This window comes from Homo sapiens, chromosome 12 (assembly GCF_000001405.40).
Source record: "Homo sapiens chromosome 12, GRCh38.p14 Primary Assembly".
In the NCBI taxonomy this organism is placed as follows: Eukaryota; Metazoa; Chordata; class Mammalia; order Primates; family Hominidae; genus Homo; species Homo sapiens.
This window is the reverse complement of record NC_000012.12, coordinates 18,306,535-18,331,222: the sequence shown is the minus strand read 5'-3', so window position 1 is coordinate 18,331,222 and position 24,688 is coordinate 18,306,535. Positions and strand designations below refer to the sequence as shown.

Below are 24,688 nucleotides of genomic sequence, written 5' to 3'. Positions count from 1 at the left end.
AAGTACTTAGAATAGCCAAATATTTTTTTAAACAAGAATGATTTTGGAGAACTTATATTGCCTGATACCAAGACTTTCCATGAACGTATGGTAATTAAGGTAATGTTGACTGGTATTAGGATAGACATAGATTTATGAAACAGAACAGGGGGTCTAGAACTACAACTATAACTTGAAATGGATCATAGAACTAAAGAACAGCTAAAACTAAAAATAGTATTGAAAAATATAGTATGCAAACTTCTGTGGGCAAATCTTTATTAAATATGATAAGAAAGCATAAACTGTAAAGTAAAAATAAACCTGGACTTCACAAAGATTAAAAGCTTCTGCTTTTTGAATGGCACGTAAGTGAAATAAAAAAGCAAGCGAACGAACCAACAACCAGTCACAGACAGGGAGACAAAGTTTTCAATACATATGTCCTACACCTCACAGTGAACTTTCTTCTGGAACATATTAGAATGATTACAATTGCAGTTAGTCGTGTGCAGGAGGGAGTTTACTGCTCCTCATCCCTGGCCTCTCATTGATACCCAGGTAAGGTTCTGGACCCTCACAATTTGATAACAAGAGGATATATAGTTCAACTTTAAAAATAGGCAAAAGATTTGAACAGGCACCTGACAGCAGAAAATATATAAATGAGCAATAATTCCATGAAAAGTAATTCGGCATCATCAGCCATTGAGGAAATACAAATTAAAAACTGAAGGAAATATTGCCACATAGTCACTAGAATGGCTAAAATTAAAACACTGACAATAACAGGTGTTGGTGAGGATGCAGAACCACAAGAACTCTTATATTGTATATGAGATTCCATTTATATAAAAGTCAAGGCAAAATAAAACCAAATTGAGAGCAAATAAATTTTTGGTGTATGAAATCTGGGATGAGAGAGATTTACTGTAAAGACGCAGTTGGGCATTTTCTCTTGTAATGCAAATATCTTGTATCTTCATTCCAGTTGTTGTTACCTAATTATATACATTTTGAAAACTAGTCAAACTACCCACTTAACATGGGTGCATTTTATTTTATATAAATTAAACTTTAAGAAAAGTGACTTAATAAATAAGACATTATAATTAAAGCGAAAAGCCCCTAAATGGCAGAAGACATTTACAATACACATAACTGAAGGAAGGGTAAATATATAAAGAACTCCCATAAATCTTTTTGAAAAATCTACAGAAATGTGGAAATATCCGCAAAAGTTTGAACAGGTAAGTTATGAAAGAGGGCAATTGAATAGTACATTTTTAAAAAAGGTAAAGACAAATTTATGAGTTTAGTATGAATTTGTGAGTCAGAAAAATTAAAGTTAATACAAAGATAGCATTACATATACCTAATGTTGGCAAACACTTATAATTTGGACTGTACTATAAGTTGGTGGGAAAATGCAGCAATAGGAACTCTCATATATTGTGAATGGGTAAAAGGTAAAACATCATTAGAAAAGTGTTTGGTGTTGCCTTGTAAATCTATGTCCCTAGCTATGTGCTCTAGAAAACCTCGTGATATTATTTCAAATATACACCAACAAGTGGGATAGATAAATTGAAGTCCAGTCTTTTAATGGAATTATTACACAACAATGAAAATGAACTAATAACAACCACATGGAAAAAGGTGGATAAATCTCACAAATAATACTGAGTGAAAGATACAGGGCTCAAAAAGTGCATATAGTTTGATTCCATTCATGGAGACCTTAGAAAGAAAATCAACACCTTATATTGCTAGTAGATGCAAACTTTGGTGATGAAATGATAAAGAAAGTCTACAAAATCCTTTTCATCAAATAGGACCTTTTACATAGAGGAGAGGAGACATGAAGTGGCAAACAGGTGTGTGATACCAAAAATATTTTGTTCCTTAATTTATTAATAAGAGTGGGTTTTCTATTATTATTCTTTAATTGTGTGTTCTTCATGTATTATATAATTTAGTACATAAATCACTAGTAGAATGTCAGATCATGTTATTCCTTCGCACAAAACCCTCTAGTTTTCTCCATCTCATTAGCAACACAGATTATGTTGGCTAGTGATTATCTTCTATTTTGATAATCTACTTTTAATTTTTTTATACTTCTTCAAGTCTGAGAGTGTTCTATACATGATAGCTTTGACTTTTAGTACAATCTGCCCTTTATTTCTTTTAAGGTCAGTTTCAATTCTGCAGTTGTGCTTCATTTTCCTGTGCTGTATAATAATAAATAATTATTGCCTTTATTTCCTTGACTTCTTTTGCAACCTTGCAACTGCTCCTTGTTACCTCTTAATTTTATCCAATTTTCTTACACTTTTTTTGCTCATTTCCCACCTTTACTTATGTTCTATTCTGAATGCAAATCAATTTTGTGAAAATTTTCTTCTGGATTCTATACAATCCTCAACTTGAATAATAGTGATAGAAACGGTAGCAGTAAAGTAACACGGGTACTCACCTTTTCTTAAAAATGTTTTATCTTCCATCACTATATTATACTAAGCCCATTATATCCATTGTTTCATTAATTATTTAAAACATCATTATATTATATTTATTATCCTCACTCTAGTGATGAATCATATAAATCTGAGGAAGGTCGAATACAAAACTTCCATAGTGGTGGAGGGTTGACTTATACATTTATCTGACTTTGGAATCTCTGCTCCTAAATTTTGTTTTAGACTACCATTAGGCTTAAGTTATGTTTGAAATTGGAACTTCTGAAAGTCTAACAATAGATTTGCTTGTAACCAAGAGAGCTTCAGTTTAAAAGAAGCTAAATATAAAATCCCTATGTGTCCTCTTTCTTTCTACTCATATATGGAATTTTCTTTCTCTCTCTAGATGAATACAGTTAGATTTTGGTCTTGAGCAAGTGTTAAATAAGATTATTTTGCCCTCCTCACTGAATTACTTAAACCTGAACACTAGAGATGTCATATTCTCCTGGTTATCTACTTGGTATAGCCTCTGAGTCATGGGCTAGATGGTAGAAGGACTTAGGGGTTCTCAGTTATTTTCTGACCAGATCGATGTTTCATGAAGCTAAACCACATTTTGAAGCATGAATTGATTTTTCCTCAACCCTGGTTCATCTAATTTACAATAAATTCAACAATTACTAGATTCTAGTGTAAATTTGTCATTCATGGTAGGGACTTCCTACCATGATCCTCACTGGCATTTTAATAAAGAATTTTGGAGACAACATATTAGAGACTACTAGGAAGAAGTGATTTTAAATCAGAAGTTGATTCTTTCTCCAAGGCTACGATTTAGTTTTATACTGCTTTGCTCTGTATAGACACCATTGTGTATATTATTTATGTGGATATGCTGTCTCTCCAACTAGATCATCGACAACTTCAGAGTATGGTTTGAACTCCCATTTCTCTTGGTTTCAGTGAGTAAACAGTTTCATAATTTGCATGAAGTAAGCATTCAGTGATACCTTGGGGGGGAGGATTCTCTTTTTTCCATTCTTAATATTTCTGAAATTCCTATTGAATTCATATTATTCAATTTCTATAAAATTAAGAATACAGAATGAATTCAAAAATATTCTCTATAGTTCAGGGTTTTAATGGAATAGAAGAGAGGAAAAAATGTCCAGTGAAAAAGCTCTTTGTAAATTAGATACAAAACTAGCCATTTGACATAATAGCCAGAATGCCTGGCCTAAAATTGTTATCATCTAAAATATGTTGAAATAATAATTGTCAAGAAAGAAAATATTTGGTACTTTAAAATATTCATATTATTCAATAATATTCATGTCTGACTTATTCAGCTGCATGCTTGTTGTTTTTTCAAATCATGTGTAATAATCCAAGTTTGGGAAATATGAAAAAAACATTATTTTTCCAATTGACACTGTTTTGGACATGATGAAATGCTACTTAATGTACTTGTCAAATGAATAGAAAGCGCAAAATTGTGAACTGATAATATCATAGTCTGTCCTCATTTCTAAGATATTTACTATTGATGTTTCATAGGCAAAAATCTCATTAAAGAACTCATTGTTTTGGATTGAGTTCATCTGGAAAATCACATACACTGTGACCTATTTATAAAATAATTTAGCTGCGAGTGATGATTGCTGTTTGCCAGTGATAATGGAAAGACAGCATTTCTTTGGTATTTTGCCAACTTTTAAGTCATATTAGAAAAATTTACAATAGTCAATCATTTCTTTCAAACTAGAAATATAGGAGGCTTCATACATAAGTAATAAGATCAAACTTCTGAATTTGGAAATTAAGAACTGTTATAAATTATTAATAATTTGTGTGTGAAAAAAGATGTCTATGATATGTGAGCAGTGCTGAGACATTTAGATAACTAAAATTCATTCATAAGTAGGTTACCATAACCTCAAAAGTATTTCTACACATAGTAAAGAGACAAAAATACTCTAGGAATTAAGTCTTAATATATCCTGGTAACCTGGTAAGTTTCACATTCTACATGAGAAAGAATGACTCTCACAAGGCTGATTAGAGGTACTAACCAAAACACTTTTATGAGACTTAAAACAAGCTAATTGTGGATTCTTTTCACATTCCACATTTTAAACTTCCAGACTCAGACCAGGCTGGAGCAGAAAAAATAGAATTAGGGTGAGAGGATTACACTTTAGGGAGAAACCTAAGTCTTGTATTTGTAGTCTCCATGTCTTTACATATTTATGTGGAAGTCACATATGATTTCAGTATCTACATCAATAAGTAGAATTTATTATTTTCAGATATATTTAGTGTTTATTGATATTACAAATAGTTATTATCTGAGTTATGTACCCTTTTATTTATATCAGGAATCAATTATTTAACAGAAAGAAAGAAGTCACTTGTTTAAAAAATGTTCCCTGACTCACAATATTCTGTAATAATATGATGTGTTATCTGTGGAAGGCTAAACCTTCCCTGGAAGAAGAAGCTGTAAGAAATAATCTGCCTAATGGAGATCACAACTTCAGTGCCCAATAGGTGACCAAATTTCAGTGGCCTTATAATGAACCCATCATTCCCTCTGCCATGCTACCTTCTCTCTTCACTATTATAGTGAATTGATGTCTCCACAGAGTCAGTCAGCAGTCCAGAATTTTGAGTTATTCTAGGCACATAATTTCACCAAATCATGTAAATTGCACATTTTCACTTCTTATGAATCTGTCCCCTCATATCATCCCTATAGTAGAGTGTTTGTCCATGCCCTCATCATCTCTTTGGGCTAATGAAATGTCCTTCTAATCATCCATCAGTCATTCTACTACTCTGCCTAATGGCTCCATGTCATCAGCTGACAAAGTAGAACATCATAAAACTGGCCATAAAAGGTCCATAAGATCCTACATAATTTGGCCCCTGTCTGCTTCTTTCATCTGATTTTTTTTCCAGCCTCTAACTTTGAACACTAACTGCAGCCATTTCAAATGTCATAGTTTCCTAATCACAGCAGTCTGGTTCCTGACTCTTTTCTCTCTCTCTCTCTTTTTTTTTTTTTTTTTTGAGACTGAGTCTTGCTCTGTCACCAGGCTGGAGTACAGTGGCCCGATCTCGGCTCACTGCAACCTCCACCTCCCGGGTTCAAGCTATTCTCCTGCCTCAGCCTCCCAAGTAGCTGGGATTACAGGCACCCACTACCACGCCCAGCTAATTTTTGTATTTTTTAGTAGAGACGGGGTTTCACCATGTTGGCCAGGATGGTCTCGATCTCTTGACCTCGTGATCTGCACACCTCGGACTCCCAAAGTGCCTCTGTTCATGTTGTTCTTTGCCGAAAGTTATCTCTACTCCCCACCTTCCTTCACAATGCCCGTCTCTGGCTGGGAGACACATACAGTCAACATTTGTCAACATTCAGCTCAAATGGATAAAACTGACCATTCTTTCTTATGCATCTTGTGTACATACAGTCTTTCCTCAGCAGCTGTAGCACTTTACTGCATATGCCTTTCTAGTTGTCTATTTTTCCAGGTTGAAATGAAAGCCTTTCAAGTGTAGATCCTCTGTTTTATTCATTTTTGTCATCTTCAAAATTTGCAAAGTTTTAGAAAAATAGTAGATGCGTTAAAAACGCTTACTGAATTGATGGATAAAGTAACAAAAGTCAATACCTGGGTTTTCAATAGGTATTTCAGGTGGAAGTCATATTTTCTGATGAGTGTTAAGAGACATTGTCTGGAAAATAAAAAATAGAAACTTTGTTTAAAATTGGGTGGGAAAACTTATATTACCTTTAGCACAAACATTTATCACAAATTGTTTTGCCCATGATACTATCGTAGGCATGGTATAAAAAGGATTATTGTTGACATAATTTTAAAAACATCTCAGAAGGGTGCCTTATAAAGTTTGTATAACTTGATAGACTACAAACATATCTGAAAGTCTTAGAACTCCAAAGAATTCATGATAAATTAACCAAACCTCTCAAAGGCTGATCATTATATAAAACTACTCTTAATTCAAACCGTAAGTTGCAAAGGGATTCATAAGCAGATAATGGCATATATTAACATCAAGAAATATTAAGTATGGCATATCTTGTAGAGAATTGCATTTGGAATTAATGGCTTATATTTATAATAGATGGGGTTGTCTCTGACACCAAACCTCTGCATTTTTCTTTCCTAAGCTTCTCTTACTGCTCCAGCTTTATCTATGCTTAGGGAGAAGACATGCAATTTGAGCAGAAATTCTTCTGAGCTTCGCTGTTCAAAAATTATTTTCCCAAACATTATTGACTTTACCTTCTTATTTGTCTTGAAAACTCCTGACTTAAATTGAATCATAAGTCACACAACTCAGAAACGCAACATTAAAACAAACACCATTATTTTTACAGTAGCTGCATTCTCATTTTTCTACATTATCACTTTAGTTGGAGTCCCTCTGTCAGTTCAAAGACAAAATGCATAGAATATGTAAAAGTCAGTGAAAGGGGAGGAAAATAATAACTAAAGATTTGGGCAATGGCAGTGGTTTTTTTTTTTTGAGACGGAGTGTCGCTGTCGCCCAGGCTGGAGTGCAGTGGCGCGATCTCCGCTCACTGCAGGCTCCGCCCCCCGGGGTTCACGTCATTCTCCTGCCTCAGCATCCGGAGTAGCTGGGACTACAGGCGCCCGCCACCACGCCCGGCTAATGTTTTGTATTTTTAGTAGAGACGGGGTTTCACCGTGTTAGCCAGGATGGTCTCGATCTCCTGACCTCATGATCCGCCCACCTCGGCGTCCCAAAGTGCTGGGATTACAGGCGTGAGCCACCGCGCCCGGCCAATGGCAGTGTCTTTATATAAAACCTGAAACTATTAGTACCACCAAGAATGCACCCACTTCAGCACTTTGTTTTTGGATATTGTATCTATTTTATAGAAAAAACCACTGGGAAGTAGTGAAGGTGAGTGATTTGCTCAACTTCTAAGAGGAAGTTGAGTCATAAAAGAGAAGGGCTGAAATCAAAGCCCTTGCCATCCAGTGCTTGATTTTTTTGATGATCCAATACGGTGTTCTGAGGAGGGCAGGCAGGGAAGCATTGTATCCCCAAAAGTAAAGTTCTACAGTGGCCTTTATGAGGCTGAGAATGTCTCTGTGATCCAATACGGTGTTCTGAGGAGGGCAGGCAGGGAAGCATTGTATCCCCAAAAGTAAAGTTCTACAGTGGCCTTTATGAAGCTGAGAATGTCTCTGTGTTAGATACCCTTTGAGAAAAATAAGGGGTGAAGGGTCAGAACATAATGGAAGTGGAATAAGCACTGATTCAGAGTTAGATACTTGGTTTTAGTCATGGCTATGGGATTAAATATTTGTGTGATGGTTGCCAAGTGTTTGAACTTCTGTTTTTAGTTTCCTTACCACAGACAAAATAGCACTGGGAGATGGCATCACCCCAGACTGTAATCCACTGCCCTGGGATTGGAGGGAGGGATGGAGGAGTAAAGTCTGAAGCTAGGCTGTCCCAGACATGTTTCCTCTACCCTTGCTACAGCAGAACTTTTGCTTTGCCCTGAATTAACCCTCTGGACCCCTGCAACTGCACACTGGCCATCAAATATCTGCTAGGGGGCAGGCAATGGCAGGGGTAAGACAAGAACAGAATGAAAGCCTCCTTCTCTCACTCTCTTCTCACAGCCTTGGCTTGCCTCTCTGTGCCCCAGGTAGCAGTGACTTAAAAGGTGCAACAACCCTCCACCAACCCAGCAAAGTCCTTTGTGTCCCAAGGATATCCTGCTTTTTGAAAAACTTCCCATATTTGAGGTGTATGTGTGTTTCTCTCCCTTTCTCTCTGTTCCCCCCACCCCTGGGTAGATTTATTTTGGAGAAAGGAAACTACAGACCTTGTTTGTATGTTATACAACAGAAATCTATAGTGGAATCATGTAATTACCTATAAAACGAAAATTTGTATTAGATTATGTCTAAAATCCTTTCTAGTCCTAGCCATTCTATGATTTTATGGAGTGAAGATGGATGTTTTTAGGGGGAAGGGTGGCAGAGAAGGGCAATGGAAAAACACAATAGTTAATGAAAGAAAATGTCCTTTGTAAATTTCAGGCAGACCTGATTTTAGTCCTGCCACTGATGACTAGAATGGCCTTAGGTGAATTATTTAGCCTCTCAGAACTTCAGTTTCTTTAGTTTTGAAACAGGATAATATATACTATCACAGAGTTTTAGAAAGAATTAGATGAGATAATATATGTAAATATATAATAACTTCACAAAATCATTACCCAACATAGTCACTAAAAACAATTTTAGCTCACATTTTTATTTATTTTTAAACTTAATTTTATTTTATTATTATTTTTAAATTAATTATTATTTTTTTTTTTGAGATGAGGTCTCACTCTGTTACCCAAGCTGGAGTACAGTGGCGTGATCTCAGCTTACTGCAACCTCCACATCCTGGGTTCAAGTGATTCTCCTGCCTCAGCCTCCCAAGTAGCTGAGACTACAGGCACATGCCACCATGCCCGGCTAATTTTTGTATTTTTAATAGAGATGGGTTTCACTGTGTTGGCCAGGCTGGTCTTGAACTCCTGACCTTGTGATCCGCCCGCCTAGGCCTCCTAAAGTGCTGGGATTACAAGCGTGAGCCACCGCACTTGGCCAATTTTATTTTATTTTAAGTTCTGGGAAACGTGTGCAGGATGTGCAGGTTTGTTACATAGGTAAACGTGCGCAATGGTGGTTTGCTGCACCTATCAACCCATCACCTAGGTATTGAGCCCTGCATGCATTAGCTATTTATCCTGATGCTCTCCCTCCCCAACTCTGATGGGCCCCAGTGTGTGTTGTTCCCCTCCCTGTGTCCATGTGTTCTCATTGTTCAGCTCCCACTTATAAGTGAGAATGTGTGGTATTTTGTTTTCTGTTTCTATGTTAGTTTGTTGAGGATAATGGCTTCTAGCTCCATCTCTGTCCCGCAAGAGACATGATCTCATTCCTTTATATGGCTGCATGGTGTATATGTGCCATTTCTTTATCCAGTCAATCACTGATGGGCATATGGGTTGATCCCATGTCTTTGCTATCGTAAATTTAGCTGATATGTTATATCAGCCTTTACTTTAGAGATTTATGACCTGTACCTCCCACACTACATTTTCTACTGGTTCAGCTCACAACAACCTTAACTGCAGATACACCCAAACTCCCAGTTTAGCTACGCAATAAGTCTGTTCTTCCAAATAATACATGCATACATTTAGATATAAGAATGAAGTAGGATATGTTCATTTGTTGTCAATCAAGTTTTCCAATTTGAATTTACACTCCTGTATTTATGATATACCATTTATTTTCAGGGAGTTTCAGAAACAAGTAGGAGATGGTTACCTTCGAAGTATTAAAATTGTTTTACAAAGAGCTTAAGTGACATATGCAAACCCAAAATCACAAAATGAATCGGGAAAACAAGTCCTTGAAAATGTAATAACCAGCAGCAGAGATTTTTTTAAATGAATGTTAGAATGTTCTGGAAAGTGTTAGCAGCTCTTCAAATATGTCTGAATAACTTTGAAGAATGGATAATTATTAACAGAATTTGCCTGTTAAAAGTACAATAGCTTCCACAGTCCCAGTGAATGGACAGTTTTTACAATCAACTGAAAAATACTGAGATTTGACATTTGAGAACTCAATCAGAAAGTAGTCTTGGAACAAATATAAAATATCTTACCTGGATACTTTCCAAATATGCATAAATTCTAGAAGTTGATTCAGATAAAACTGACTGTGGTCCTCTTCATGCTGTAGACAGCAGAATATATTAATATTTATTGAGTGAATAGGAATGAGTACCAGATAAAAATAGGTCCGTAACTTCCTGCTGTCATTTTATTCACCTATTTTGATAAACCTCATTCATCGCTTTTATATTCTGTCTGAAAGACCTTAAAAGGCTCTCCTTAACTATATAAGCCTTTTCAAAAGTAAAACAGAAAGCTTGGCTTTTGTTGAGAATAAACCTGAAAGATAGTTGAAAAACATCGTGGCATCAGCAAGGTCAAACATTAAATTCTTCTACTAAGTATGAAGGCAGATTTTTTGCCACCAGTTCTCCCACATACATGCACATTTTGTTTTCACATTTAGGCCATGAGTGCCATGGCAGTGTAAAGCCTGACATTTTGCCAGATGGGCGGGCAGACACATAATCAACTCCTTCATTTTTCAGCTTCACCACATCTTGCCGCCAAAATGTCAGTGTAAGAGAGTTTTCCATTCCATGAGCACTAAATTATGCTAATTAATGACAATTACTGGTAGGTATAAATGTTAGGAGTTGGCATTTTGTTTTCTTCCTACATAAGCATGAACTACTTATCTTAAAATATCATGCCTATGGCCCATATGTGTGTGCTCACACACACACGCACACACACACGCATACCTTAACTTCTTGACCAGCTCTCCTGCAACAGGGCATTCATGAAAACCCTTTGCAAGTATGCAGAGAATGCAGTATGTCTCAACATAATTGCACTATTTCACCACACGGTGGCATTAAGGTTGAGATCTGAGTGGGTCCCTTAATGCCTAGGGTGTATGTAATCTTGTGTGTCAGTACACACACAATCTATTTTTAAAACTGACTATTAGAAATTCGGACAGAAAACATCAGAAGGAAAACCTTCATATGGCCCAATGTCAAAGGTAAATTAATTTTTATATTGGTTTGTTTTGTGAAGAGGAAGAAGGAAGCTAAGTTAGGTGGAAAGAATAAGGTCACTGTTATAAAACAATATTTTGACTACATGCTGTGAAAAAGAAACACTATGTAGAATGACTGAGAAACGAAGATGTGAGTCTTACTTTCTAGAAATTTACATATAGAGTCACTGGGACAGCTAAAATAAAAAGTGTGATGGTGACAAGACAATTTTTTTCTGCGACAGAGAAAGCTAAACTGTAGTCATGAAAAGTACAGTAAAAGAAGAGGGAAAATAGGAAAGTGAAAAACAGTAAAAATAAGTAAGATTTGAACTGTAATATTTGGCACTTGTCTTCTTTCAGAAGTTAAAACCAAAGCAAGAATATAAAGAATATACTTAGTTACATCTTTCTATGAAGCATAATCATATTCATTTAAAAACCAATTTATTTGGTTTCCAGAAATATTTTCGGTATTAGTCATAGTACCTTTTGCTAGAAAAATTTTTTAATTTAAATACCTTCATAGGCTGGAGGAAAAATAACTTTGTAAGATACATGTATTGGAAACTTTTTTTGTCACAATTATTAACAGATCTTGAAAAAAAACAAAAGCTGGAGGAAAATTCCTGTAATTGTCCATGAAAGATAGTGTGCACTTAACTTTTCCTTAAAGCTGAGGCCATACCTTGGCCTTAAGGAAAAAGGAAAAAGTTAAAATTTTTTTTTCTCATACAAAAATCTATTGCTGTAAATGTTCGTGAATGTTCCCCTGAGCTATAAGAAAATCTTGATTTTATGATTCTACAACGTTGGCATACTTTTGACCAAATTTGAGATAGACAAAAAGGGAAACCAATTTAAAAATATTAAGTTATTCATAGCTAATCAAGGTAGCAGCTTTAAAATTTTGAAACCTTGGATGATTTCTAAAGATCATCAACCTGCTTTTTATTATTTATTTATTTTTTTTTGAGACAGAGTCTTGCTCTGTCGCTCAGGCTGGAGTGCCATGGTGTGATCTCGGCTCACTACAACCTCCACCTCCCGGGTTCAAGCGATTCTTGTGCCTCAGCATCCTGAGTAGCTGGGATTATAGGTACACAACACCAGGTTTGGCTATTTTTGTATAGATGGGGTTTCACTATGTTGGCCAGGCTGGTCTCAAACTTCTGACCTCAGGTGATCTGCCCACCTCGGCCTCCCAAAGTGCTGGGATTAGAGGCCTAAGCCACTGCTCCTGGCCTGCTTTTTTTTTTTTTTAGAACAACTTTCTTGTTCTCTTGAAATGAGGATTAAATTATACTATTTCAGTATAATATTATCAAGTTTAAAATAAAAATATTATCTAAGATGAATTGAGCTTTGCACAATTAGAAAGCTCTAAAGTATCTACTGCGAGGTAATGGTATCAATAAATTTAATATAATGATGATAGTCATATTCCTAGTATTATGTGAAAAAAATACTATCAAGACAATTTTACAGTTTTATTAGAAAGATTATAATTGTTCATAAATGTTTTACTTACAGCTGAAATCCTGAAAATCACAGAGAATTTTGACACCATTATAAAAAATAAAACTGAGAGAACATTTGCTATCTTCTTATGATGTATATATAAAATTAAATATACAAATCAAGGGTTACTTATGTAAAATAGGGCAATTCAGATAATGAAGATGAGACACAAGTTGATAAACTGTTTCAGTTATATTAAGTTAATCAATAAATCATATACATCTTAGAAAGAAAATTTTATAAAGCTTACCTCAAAACCAAACCAGTTTACTTTTACTTTCTTGTTACATATAGAAATTTCAATTAAGACTAAAATTTATCCTGCTCTATGAGTATGAAAGCTTACAAGAAAAATTGTGATATATTAAAATTGTTGATATATCAACAAAAGTCATGATACTGCAGTGTATATACTGTTTTGACATAACACACAAATGTCCATCTCTCTCAATATTTCCAACACAGTGAGTAAATTTCTAAATGTTTTAATGCAAATTAATGTTAATAATGTTTTAGAATTTTTAATTGTAAAGGGCCAAAATAGCACACAGTGAAACATCCAATTTTATGACGTCAATAGCTACTGCTTAGGTAGTCATACTAAGTGCAGGCACTGACTTAAGCTCTTCATTTATATTTCTCAGTTGAGTTCTCATAATAACCACATTAAGTAAGAACTGTTATTATTCACATTTTTTGATGAAGAAATTAAACAGAGATTTAACAATTTGCCTAAAAGTGAACATTTGAAATACAGCAATATGAAACCAGAATTTTTGCTTTTTTATAGAAGGCCAAATGAACAAATTTAATATTCCTCGTTTCTAACGATCAGAGCTAGGCCTATGTGCTCCAGGATTTAGACAGAAAAACAAGCACTATCACTAGCCCCTCTTACCCATCTGCATTAGGTGGTTCTCTCAACTTTTAGAGCTGGCCATATTTTCTTTCAGAGTACATATCTCCATAGGACTTCATTATATATATTTGTTTATTGTCTGTCTCTCAACTAGGATGTGAACTCTACATTTTAGAAAAGGCAAGTACTATGAACGGCATGTAACAAGTTTTATTTGTTAAATTAATCAATTGTTACTAGATTGTATATACTGTATAAAGTACTTATCCCAGTTCCTGGAAGTAAATCCTTAAAGTTTTAATAAAATGTAATATCTTCCCCTTTGAAATGTAATGCGAAAAAAAAAATCCTGAAACTATCAAGACTTGGACCAGGCACAGTGGCTCATGCCTGTAATCCCAGCACTTTGTGGGGCTGAGGCAGGTGGATCACGAGGTCAGGAGTTTGAGACCAGCCTAACCAACATGGTGAAACCCGTCTCTACTAAAAATACAAAAATTAGCCAGGCATGGTGGCACGTGCCTGCAATCCCAGCTACTCAGGAGGCTGAGGCAGGAGAATCACTTGAACCCGGGAGGCGGAGGTTGCAGTGAGCCAAGATCACGCCACTGCACTCCAGCCTGGGCAACAGAGCGAGACTCCGTCTCAAAAAAAAAAAAAAAAAAAAGAATCAAGACTTAGAGAGATGGGGATACGGAATGCCTTTTTCATATTCTGCATGGAAGTTACCCCTGCTTTTTAATTGGAAATCAGTGTCAGTTGCATCCCCTGAATCCCTGAGGGCTGAGATCTTATTGCTATTGCTCACTACTCTACGCATTAGTGTAGGGCCTAATACACAGCAGTTACATAGCAAATACTTATTGCATAAATGGAGGATATACAAATATACAAATACATTTGCCATCAGGTGTATTATCCATTATTTTATTATTATTATTATTATTTTGAGACAGAGTCTCGCTCTGTCACCCAGGCTGGAGTGCAGTAGCGCGATCTCAGCTCACTGCAACCGCTGCCTCTCGGGTTCAAGTATTATCCATTTTAAACAACAGCATCAATATTAGCAAAAGTTGTGGATGAGAAAAGGCATTTATACTCTTTGCCTATGAGTTGCTGAATTATCCAAGAATTGGTGATATTTACTGTAGGATGGATAAGCTTGTAAGTTGAACCATGAAGCATCAAAAAGAACTATGTAACTTAATTCCCACTGTGATTCAAATGGCATATTAAAAAACTGGCATTTCTGATGAGAACTACACATTATACACCCAGAGATAACAATATGCTTGTCCCTGGACATGACAACAACGGTGATGACAGCAATATGATTATCTCACCTTTTTTTCTCAACATTGAGGGTAATTTGAAGAATCTTAAGTTTAATATTGACGGAGTCAGCTACACTATGTAACTGCGCTTGCTGACATTACCATATAGTGTGATCTGTAGCCACATAGTTTTGCTCTGATCTCATCACCCTTATTTACTAGCTGTGCAACTTTGGATGATTTAAATAATCTCTTAACTTTTCAGTTCTTTTATTTTTATAGGATAGAAAAATAGTTGTATTTATTACTTCTTTGCTCTTGGGTTACTGTCAATTAATTCATTTAAAGGACTAAGAACATCACTTGGCACCTAATATATACCATCATAATATAATATATAACCATATATAATATGGTTAGTTATTAATCACCGATCATGCCCCAGACTTTGAGCTACATGGATATTGCTGTGGAAAAAAATTACACACACACACACACACACACACACACACGTGGATGCATGAAGCTAGAATTTTTGACCAATTACCTTGAAACACACATCCAAAACCTTTGAGAATATACTGCAAATTCTGAGTATATTTCCCATTTAAGTTGGTAGGAATGCATGGGCTCTGAAGACCCACTGACTGTGCTCAAATCTGTACTTCTCTGCTCGTCAGTTTCATGATTTTAATCTTGGGAAAGTCTTGATACCTCCCTGTGATTCCGTTTCCTTATTTTTAATAGTGTTTACCTTATAGAATTATTGAAAAGATTAAATGTGATAGAAATGTTAAAGTCTCAGACATGTATGTATGCCCTATATCAGAATAATAGAGTTACAAGAGTTTTTAAACAGACCTTAATTTACATGAGTCTGAAATGTTAGTGATTTGTTAATTACTACCGATAAGTTATTATTTTAGCAGCATCCAAATTAGAATCATACATTTTATCTTCTTCCCCCATGCTCCAATGAACTATGATGATTTCAGCTTTTTTTTTCTCAACATTGAGGGCAATTTGAAGAATCTTAAGTTTAATATTGACAGGGTCAGTTGCACTTTATAACATTTTTTTTCCTGGAGATTTCAGATGTATAGCCTTGGAGCTGTCAACAGCAGCTAAGTTGAGCACAAGATCCAAAAGATATTTCTAAACAACTGTCTTTTGGCCTCATTATGTTATGTTCCACATTGATATGTTGCAACCTAATGTACTACCTGAAATTTTCTTATGATGAAACACTTCATACTAGAAAAAAAAGAAAACATCCACTGGAAATCTGTTACTTAATATAAATGACAGGGTGAGAGGATTTTTGCTTAAAGCAAGTAATTTGAAGATTCTACAGATAAAAACTGCCATAATACCAAAGTTCACTGCATACTGTGCAGTTTGAATTGGAAGTAACTCACAACATGACACAGGGAATAAAATTCGCATCTAACAGCATGAAACTGTATCGTCAAAGCACAGTCATCCTTTTCTAGGTAGCTTTATTATATATATTATGAAAGTTTATCTGTCCTAATTTAAGCTGTGTTGACATAAACAGTCTTCACAGAAAACAAGTTATTTTTTTGCCTTCAGTGATTCCCCTTTACATTTTCTATTTCATTTACTTCTAAGAAGATATGTGAAAAGTATAAATACGATAACCTTAATAAGTGTCTCACAGATGATTTTTGAAAGAAACCAACAGATTTGTTATACTCAGTGTATTAGTCAGCCTGGGCTGCTATAACAAAATACCAGAGACCGGGTGGCTTAAACAACATACATTTATTTCTCTTCGTTCTATAGGCTGCAAAGTTTATAATCAGGGTCAGAGCCCTTTTCCTGTGTGCAGACAGCTTCCTTCTTGCTGTGTCCTAACCTAGTGAGAGGAAAGAGAAAGAGAGAGTGATAGAAAGAGAGGGAGAGGGAGGGAGAAAGAAGAAGACAGAGAGAACGCTCTAAACACTTTTTATAAGGGCACTTACCACCTCATCATAAGGGCTCTGCTTTTATGACCTCATCTAAACCTAAATACCTCCCAAAGACCTCACTTCCTAATACTATCACCCAGGGCCTCAACTTATGAATTTTGGGGGGACACAGACATTCAGTCCATAACACTAAGATTGCAGTAATGTGTTCATGTTATTGCATCAGTTCAAATCATTAACAGGTATTTATATTTAGATAAGATATTTCATCATGTTTCAATGAATATATTTAAATAAACATGTATTAATTAAGCTATATAATTCCAAGTTGGCAATAGTTCAAAAATTAGAAATATTGTCCTTAAAACTGTCAGTTTGCCAATTGAAACCAATGCTAAGAAAGTCTTACCTTTCGAGATAGCTTTCCTGGAGCTTCCCTACTTTTCTGCAGGTGGAGCTGAATAACAGATTTATCTTTTTGAAACATTTTGTGGCTCCCCAAACAGTGGTCGCTGAAGGAGGAAAAAATGAACACAATCATATCCTCCCATAATATTCCCAAATACATGTTTTCCTCTCTGACTTCATTTTCTTTTATTTTTGGAACTTAGTTTGGTAAAAACTGAGTGTGTGCGTGTGTGTGCGTGTGTGTGTGTGTGTGTGTGTGTGAATATATATGCATTACATATTTTTGTGTATAAATGAATAATATGACAGGAAATATAGATATATAGATATAAATGATGAAATGTGAAATTTTTATGTGCATTAATAAGTTAGAAAATGATTAAATGATTAGACACCTTTAGAATTATCACAATAAATTTTAACAAATAAGACTTTGCATATTCTAAGTTAGTTTTACCCAGCCATCTCAGGGTTCAAAGCTGATGACAGCATGCTTCTGGGTGGTCTAACTGATGCCATTATGTCTGTGTGGAGACCTTGTCTCAAGAAAGCATTGGGATGTGGTGAAAATGTCACGAGCTTTAGAGACAGATTTACTAGCTCGATGACCTTAGGAAGGCCAATTAAACTAAAACTATCTGAAACCCAATATTTTCTCTTTTAGAGTTGGAATAGTAATGTCTACATCAAAGGGTTAGCAAGCAGAATAAACAAAAGAATTATACCTATTTCAGAAATTTCTACTGGCACTGTTATATTTCTTTGTCTTCCTTCCTTTCTCTTTCTTTTTTTGCCTATAAATATTTATCAAGCACAAATTAACTGAAGAGCACAATGAATTACTATTTTGCAACATTTTTCTTATAAATACAATTTGATTCTTCTGTGAAATGAAGGGCTTCTACTATATAAGTCCCTTTACAGCTTTAAATTTTGGTATCTCTGGTGACTTTTAGTCATTGAGAAAAGGATGAGTTATGTTAATGCACATTGTTTAAAGGACCTTAAATATGAAGGATTTCAGGAGGAAAAAAGTATATTAGATACTTGTAATCCTTAAGATGATAATTTTACTTATATGGAAAATTCAGTAAATAGTTGGCATAGCTTGTTGCCAACAATGCCAGACAAATAGACCATTAATCTGTAAAATGAATTAACAAAAATGTATAGAATTATGTAGAATAATTATATAGAATTTACTATACTATATAGTAAATTCTTTTTAAATGTTTCTATTTTAACGTTGTTTTTAATACTTAAAAAACTTAGTACCTATCTGCTAGCCAAAATGGTGAATGTTAGTATGTTCATGACATATGTTCAGTGCCTATTCCTATCCCAACTGTTAGTCTAATCTAGATTCTTGTCCCTGGGGTATCCATAGGGCTCTTACACTGTTCGCTGAGTTGTTTTCACAGCCAATCTAGACAAAAGTCATGGCCACTGCTTTTCTTCACTTGTTCTTGGAACTACTGATTTCTCCTTCCTCCTTCCCAAAGGTTTGCTTCAAGGGCCAGCCTCACAATCTATCACATGTAATCAAGTTCCTGTCCTTTCATCTCCCTCTACTCAACTCTTTTTTCCATGCTAAGAGCTCTGTTTCCCTGTTCCTGCTATGGGAGGTGACTTAAGAATAGTGACCCATCTTGCTTTCAAAGATTCCTTTTCTCTGTATGTTGAAGTCTTGATACTGCACTCTGGACACCAGTGCAATGACTTCAGCCTCATACATGGCTACTGCGTGCTTACTTAAACTGACCTTCTTTATTTTATCCACCTGCGTGTATACTTCTTCCTAGAATTGCCAGATAATATACTTGATGTCTAGTGTGTTGGTTAATATTGAGTGTCAACTTGATTGGATCGGAGGATGCAAAGCATTGTTCCTGGGTGTGTTTGTGAGTGTGTTGCCAAATGATTAACATTTGAGTCTGTGGATTGGGCAAGGCAGACTCATCCTTAATCTGGGTGGGCACAATCTAAACAGCTGCCAGCATGGCTAGAATAAAAGCAGGCAGAGAAACGTGGAAGGACTAGACTGGCTTAGCCTCGCAGCCTACATCTTTCTCCCATGCTGGATGCTTCCTGCTCTCAAACATCAGATTCCAAGTTCTTCAGCTTTGGGACTCTTGGACTTTCATCCACAGACTGAAGGCTGCATTGTCGGCTTCCCTACTTTTGAGGTTTTTGGGACTCGGACTGGCTTTCTTGCTCTTTAGCTTGCAGATGGCCTATTGTGAGATCTCACCTTGTGACAGTGTAAGTCAATACTCCTTAATAAACTCCCCTTTATATATACACATCTGTCCTATTAGTTCTGTCTCTCTAGAGAACCCTGACTAATACATCTAGTATCTATAAATTACAGAGAAACAATGAGTGAATATTTTTAGTATATATTTCATGTAGTATTTGATACATATTTACACTAAACGTGTGTGTATACATGTATGTACACATATACTGTAGTATTAAAATTTATTTTCACCTGTTTCTTTGTGTATTTTCATGCACACACACACACACACACACCCCTTTATACCATATAGGTGTATATATGTGTGTGTCTATCTATATAGATAGAGATATATAGATATAGATAGATACATAGATATAATACCTTAATACTGTTTAGGTGTGTGTGTATATGAGTGTGTATATATATACACCTTTCATATAACTACATATAAAATACTACATGAAACATATACTAAAAATATTTATGACTTTGAAATAAAACTGGATATTCTATATTTTTATTTGCTACATCTGCCAATTTTACTGCTTTCAAAAACTAGGTCTTAGTTCTTTCCTTACCTTTGCTTCATTGTGTATGTCCTCGTGTGTGTGTGTGTGTCTGTATGTGTGTGTATATGGTGGAATCTGGCACCATAATTATCAGATTTGGGGTAATAACAGATGTTGAAACAGTCTTTTTCCTCTATGATTTTTTTCAAATTACATTATAGGAATATATTCTCATGGGATACATCCAAATTTTACTCAACTCTACAAAATAAAAGAGATAAGAAAAATTCTTCCCTTTCCCTTTTTCTGGAAAAACAATTACCAAGAGCTTATTATACTTTCTTTGAGGGCTGAAATAAATAGGTAACACACGTATTTCTGTTATGAATGAGACTATCTTATTTTAGTCATGTCTCTAGCCTATAAATTCCTTTTAATTCATTTTTGAGTCTTTGACTTTTAATCAGAGAAGTCTCAGCTATCCAAGTTATAGTAATGCCTTCTGCTATATTATTTTTGGTTTATATTAACTATATTGTTTCTTTTAGAATTATTTCCTTTCATTTGTTGGGTTTATTTGAGCCATTTTTGAGTCTCTTCTTTCTCTATTTATCTTTAGAGCCTTGACATTCATAAACATATTTTTACTTTCTGGTGGTCACCTTTTTTAAAGAAAAGGAAACATATCTTAAAGCTTTTCTATTGCAATCTCAATTTAATTACTATGTGACAGACACTCAAATAAAATTTAGAGCTTTATATGACTTCAATTCAGTTCTCTCTTAGAACCTTACAACTGCTCAAGTAGAGATCACTTCAAATATTAGCTCCAGATTCTTTTATCACTTACTTGATGAAATATAAAAAGTAGTAGATTAGTTGATTAAAAAAGTTAAAGTTGGGAATTATAAAGAAGACAGATTTCTTAAAAATAGTTTATTTTTAAACTAAACGTAACTACGTAGCCTCTCACTAGCCAAAGTTCTGATATTAGCATCAAGTCTTTGCTATTGGATGAAGGGTCAGTTGATAACAATTTTGTGTCATCTTTCTGATATAAAACAAATCTATAAGTAATTATCTTTAATTGCCTATTGTACTTTCTTAAATGTGTAGCAAATTCTTAGAGTCAAAGAAAAACTTGAATGGAAAATCATTTTAGATTTTTATAATTATTTTTCTAGTCTAAGTTGTTTCCTCTACATTGAATTCAGCAACAATAGATTTTAATGGCTCTCCTTTATTAATTATCTTTTAAAAATTTCAACTTCATTTTCATAGAAACACTGACTTTCTTTCTTCACTCATACTTCATCACTCTGTAAATACTTCATTTACTTACCTAAATAAAATAACAATAGAACTGGCATAAAAAGGTTCAGGAATAAACACAACTGACTCTAGGTACGTTTACAACTCAACTTACAGAAGCAAAAGTGCGTGGGCATAATATACTTTATAGTAAACTATTATGCTAGAGAAGTAGTTATCAAAATGTTGTCTACAAAACCCTGGAGCTACAAGAGACACTTCCAGGGTGTACATGCACTTGTAGGAAATAAAAATCAGTGTCACTTAAAAATATCCTTGATAAAATGGTAAAAATTATTAATTTTGTTAAATCTAAATCCTTAAATACATGTGTCTTTAATTTTCTATATGAACATATAGGAAAAACAGTTAAAGCACTTCTGCATACTATAATATAGAAGTTGTCTTCAGGAAAAGCCCTCTTGTACTTGCTTGAGTGGCAAAATAAAGAAGTAACTTTTTTCATGAAACAATTTTATTACATGAGAGAATTACAGGCAAACTGTGGTTATTCAGACAGGTGTTTGGCAGTCAAAAATGAACAAGCTAAGCTTGTCACTTTTAAGGAAAACAACTTCAGAAATAAGGATTTTGTAAAATTTATATTTTCCACTATGAGCTTGCTGGCTAACCAATACTTATAGACTTTTCTCATGAGAAAAATGCTAATATTAAAAAATGAACTTTTTGATATTTTATGGTAAAGTATGGCAACATTTGGAAGATCTGCAGAATCCAATGGACATATTTGTCTAAATGACAATCCATGATGCTTCAAATCTTGCATGGGTAAAAAAAGATTTATCAATAGGGCAAGACAGACCAATGGACTCTAAATAGCCTAGTGTGAAAAGTATTGATTTTTTTTTATATTCCACATTGTATCTAAATTTTAAAAGACTATTACTTGTTGATTTTGGTGTAGTATCAAAGAAAGATGTTCACAATTATCTGAAAAGACTACTAAGATATTTATCTTTTCCACAAACCATATTTGTGTGAGGCCAAATTTTCTTTATATACTTCCACTCAATCATCATAGTGCAACAGACTGAATGGAAGAGCAGTCAATGGTCTTAATTAAACCAGACATTTAAAAGATTTCTAAACACATAACAGTGCTACATTCCTCACAAATTATTTTTGTTTTGCAATATATAGTATTTATAATAAAAATATTTTATGTGTATTTACGTGTAATAAGTTTATCATTTTTAATTCAAATAATAAATGCATATTTAAAAAATTTCTCAATTATAATTTCCAACATGGTAAATATTGATAGACAAAGTCCACACAAATTCTTTTTGGGGTACTCAACAATTTGTGAGTTTAAAGGATTCTGAGACCAAAATGTTTGATAACTACTCTTCTAGAACAAACAATGAATTCTGGGCCTTAATCATTCTGTTTTGTAAAGGAAATAAAGAGTGTTAATACAGCAAGTCAAGCAAGCAGAGATAGATAAAGGAGCCTCTACTAATTTATTTTCTTTTTTTTTTACTATATTTTAGAGCTTTTTAAGTAATTATGTTAACCATTGATCTATATTCCATAGGGCTTCATTGTTTATTTTGTTGAAGTACATCTTCACATAATTTTTTAGAGAGATAATTTATGGACATAAAATGTTTTTATTTCTGAGAATGTCTATTTTTACATTGTCCTTGAATGCTGGCTTATTGTTAGTTCCAGAATTCTAGGTCAAATTATTTTCATAATATAATATTGTAGTAGAATTATCAGTTAAGATTAAATCTCTGCTGTTTTTTAAAGGACGTTAGAGTTTCTAATAACCGTCACACTTTCTAAGAGCTGTGAACTACTCGTTTTACCATTATACGTGGCAAGACCACAATTTTGATCAGTTTGTGTTTAATGATATAGAGCTATGCTGTCTAGTATAGCGGTTAGTGAATACAAGCAGCTACTAATCACTTGCAATGAGGCTACTTTTAATTAAGATATGCTATAAATGTAAAATACACACTAGATTTTCAAGACTTGTCATATTAAATAATGTGAAACATCTCAATGATTTTCTTTATTTTGATTACATGTTAAAATGATAATATTTGAGGTATATTGAGTTAAAGAAACTGTAGTATTAGAATTTATTTCCATGTGTTTCTTTGCATATTTTCTTAGTGTGGCTAGTAGAAAATTTAAAACTCTTCTGTGGCCTACGTGATAAATTTGTTAAATGGTGCTATGTAGAGAAAATGAAAAAGAAAAGAGAGAAAAAGCATTAAATAATAGAAAGAAGGGTGGGAATTTAATAAGTAAGTGCAGTAAAAAATGAATTTTTATTTGAGAGTTCTAGATATCAAAAAGGGTAAGAAGAAAGGTTACCATACCAAGAGAAAGAGAAATGAAAGGCACGGACCATAAGGTGGGTAGTGTGGAGAGAAGGGTTGTGCTCTAAGAAAAGGCCACACTGGGAATTACAATGCTTATAACATGAGCACAGGAATTATCCATTTAAGGTTGTACACACCAGGTGTTTTTCTCAGTCTGGTAACATTCCAAATATGAGCACTACCTATGTTTTATTTAATAATCATCTATAAAACTTCAGCTGTTAAATGAACTGAATGTCTGTGATACAATAAAAAGTTTAGGCTTTTTCTTCCCATATCCTAGGAAATCAAACTTTCTGTATATTAATTATTTATTCTCTCTACACATATTTGATTCTATCTATCTGCTAGTTACTATCTTAGGAACTATTATGAGTATACTTGTCATTTAAGATGAACACTAAGAGGCTGAATTCTAGCACCATAATTACCCTTATTTCCTATTCCTAAATAGCTCATGTTATTTTAAAGTATTTCTGAGGCAATATGTTTATATAAAGAGAGATTAATGACCTTAACACCAAAAAGTGATAAGTACTCAAATTTGTCTTATGAGCAAGTAAGCATCCTAGATAACATTCAAACTATGAATATTGATTCTCATTGCCCTAGCCGCTCCTTGGAAACCCACATTTAAAAGCGATGCTCTTTCATTGGAATAAATACTTACGCTTGTTTTATATAATTTGAATTAAGCTAAAATGTTCTTTATTCTTACATGTAAGAAGTAGTCACAGAGGTGTATTGTGAAATATTAAACTCATGTATAGAAAATAAACGATTTCTATTTGATTTTGTAAATATTGAAAACCAGGATTGCTGACAGCTTCTGAAGGTATTTCTTTAAGAAAATTCAGTAACTAAGCTGGACTTAAAATCTTTGGGATAACTAAGTCAGAAATGTAAGGTGAATATAACAAAATATTAAAATAATATTAGTACTGTAGTACTGTTCAGAGTATTTTTCAGCTAGTTATGTGTATGTGCACACTTGGCACATGTACACACATTTGGTATGTGCCCCTTCAAAATTTCTACAATGTTAAATCTGCCATATCCTTAATTTGAGTAAACTGGTCTTTGCAACTAATAAAATAGCCCTGGATTTT

At 34.3% G+C, this 24,688-nt stretch overlaps 1 protein-coding gene across 16 annotated transcripts in view, besides 1 other annotated feature; it reads right to left on the bottom strand.

The window, feature by feature from the left end:
• The window catches only part of PIK3C2G (phosphatidylinositol-4-phosphate 3-kinase catalytic subunit type 2 gamma), a 483,857-nt gene that overhangs the window by 395,595 nt on the left and 63,574 nt on the right, over window positions 1-24,688 (bottom strand). For all 16 annotated transcript variants that reach the window (XR_931307.3, XM_047429007.1, XM_017019471.2 and 13 more), the window contains 3 exons: window positions 17,159-17,261; window positions 10,191-10,261; window positions 6,125-6,188 (listed from right to left, as the gene is read on the bottom strand). Coding sequence is in view for 15 of the 16 variants with exons in the window: in XM_047429007.1 (XP_047284963.1) it covers window positions 6,125-6,188; window positions 10,191-10,261; window positions 17,159-17,261 (238 nt within the window). In the remaining variant the exon portion in view is untranslated. The remainder of the gene's footprint in view (window positions 1-6,124; window positions 6,189-10,190; window positions 10,262-17,158; window positions 17,262-24,688) is intronic.
• Window positions 10,894-11,188: a silencer, noted in NCBI's record as "tiled region #15440; HepG2 Repressive DNase unmatched - State 12:CtcfO". NCBI's record gives its function as "represses a minimal TATA promoter and a strong SV40 promoter by Sharpr-MPRA in HepG2 cells {active_cell/tissue: HepG2}" and the evidence as "EXISTENCE:reporter gene assay evidence [ECO:0000049][PMID:27701403]".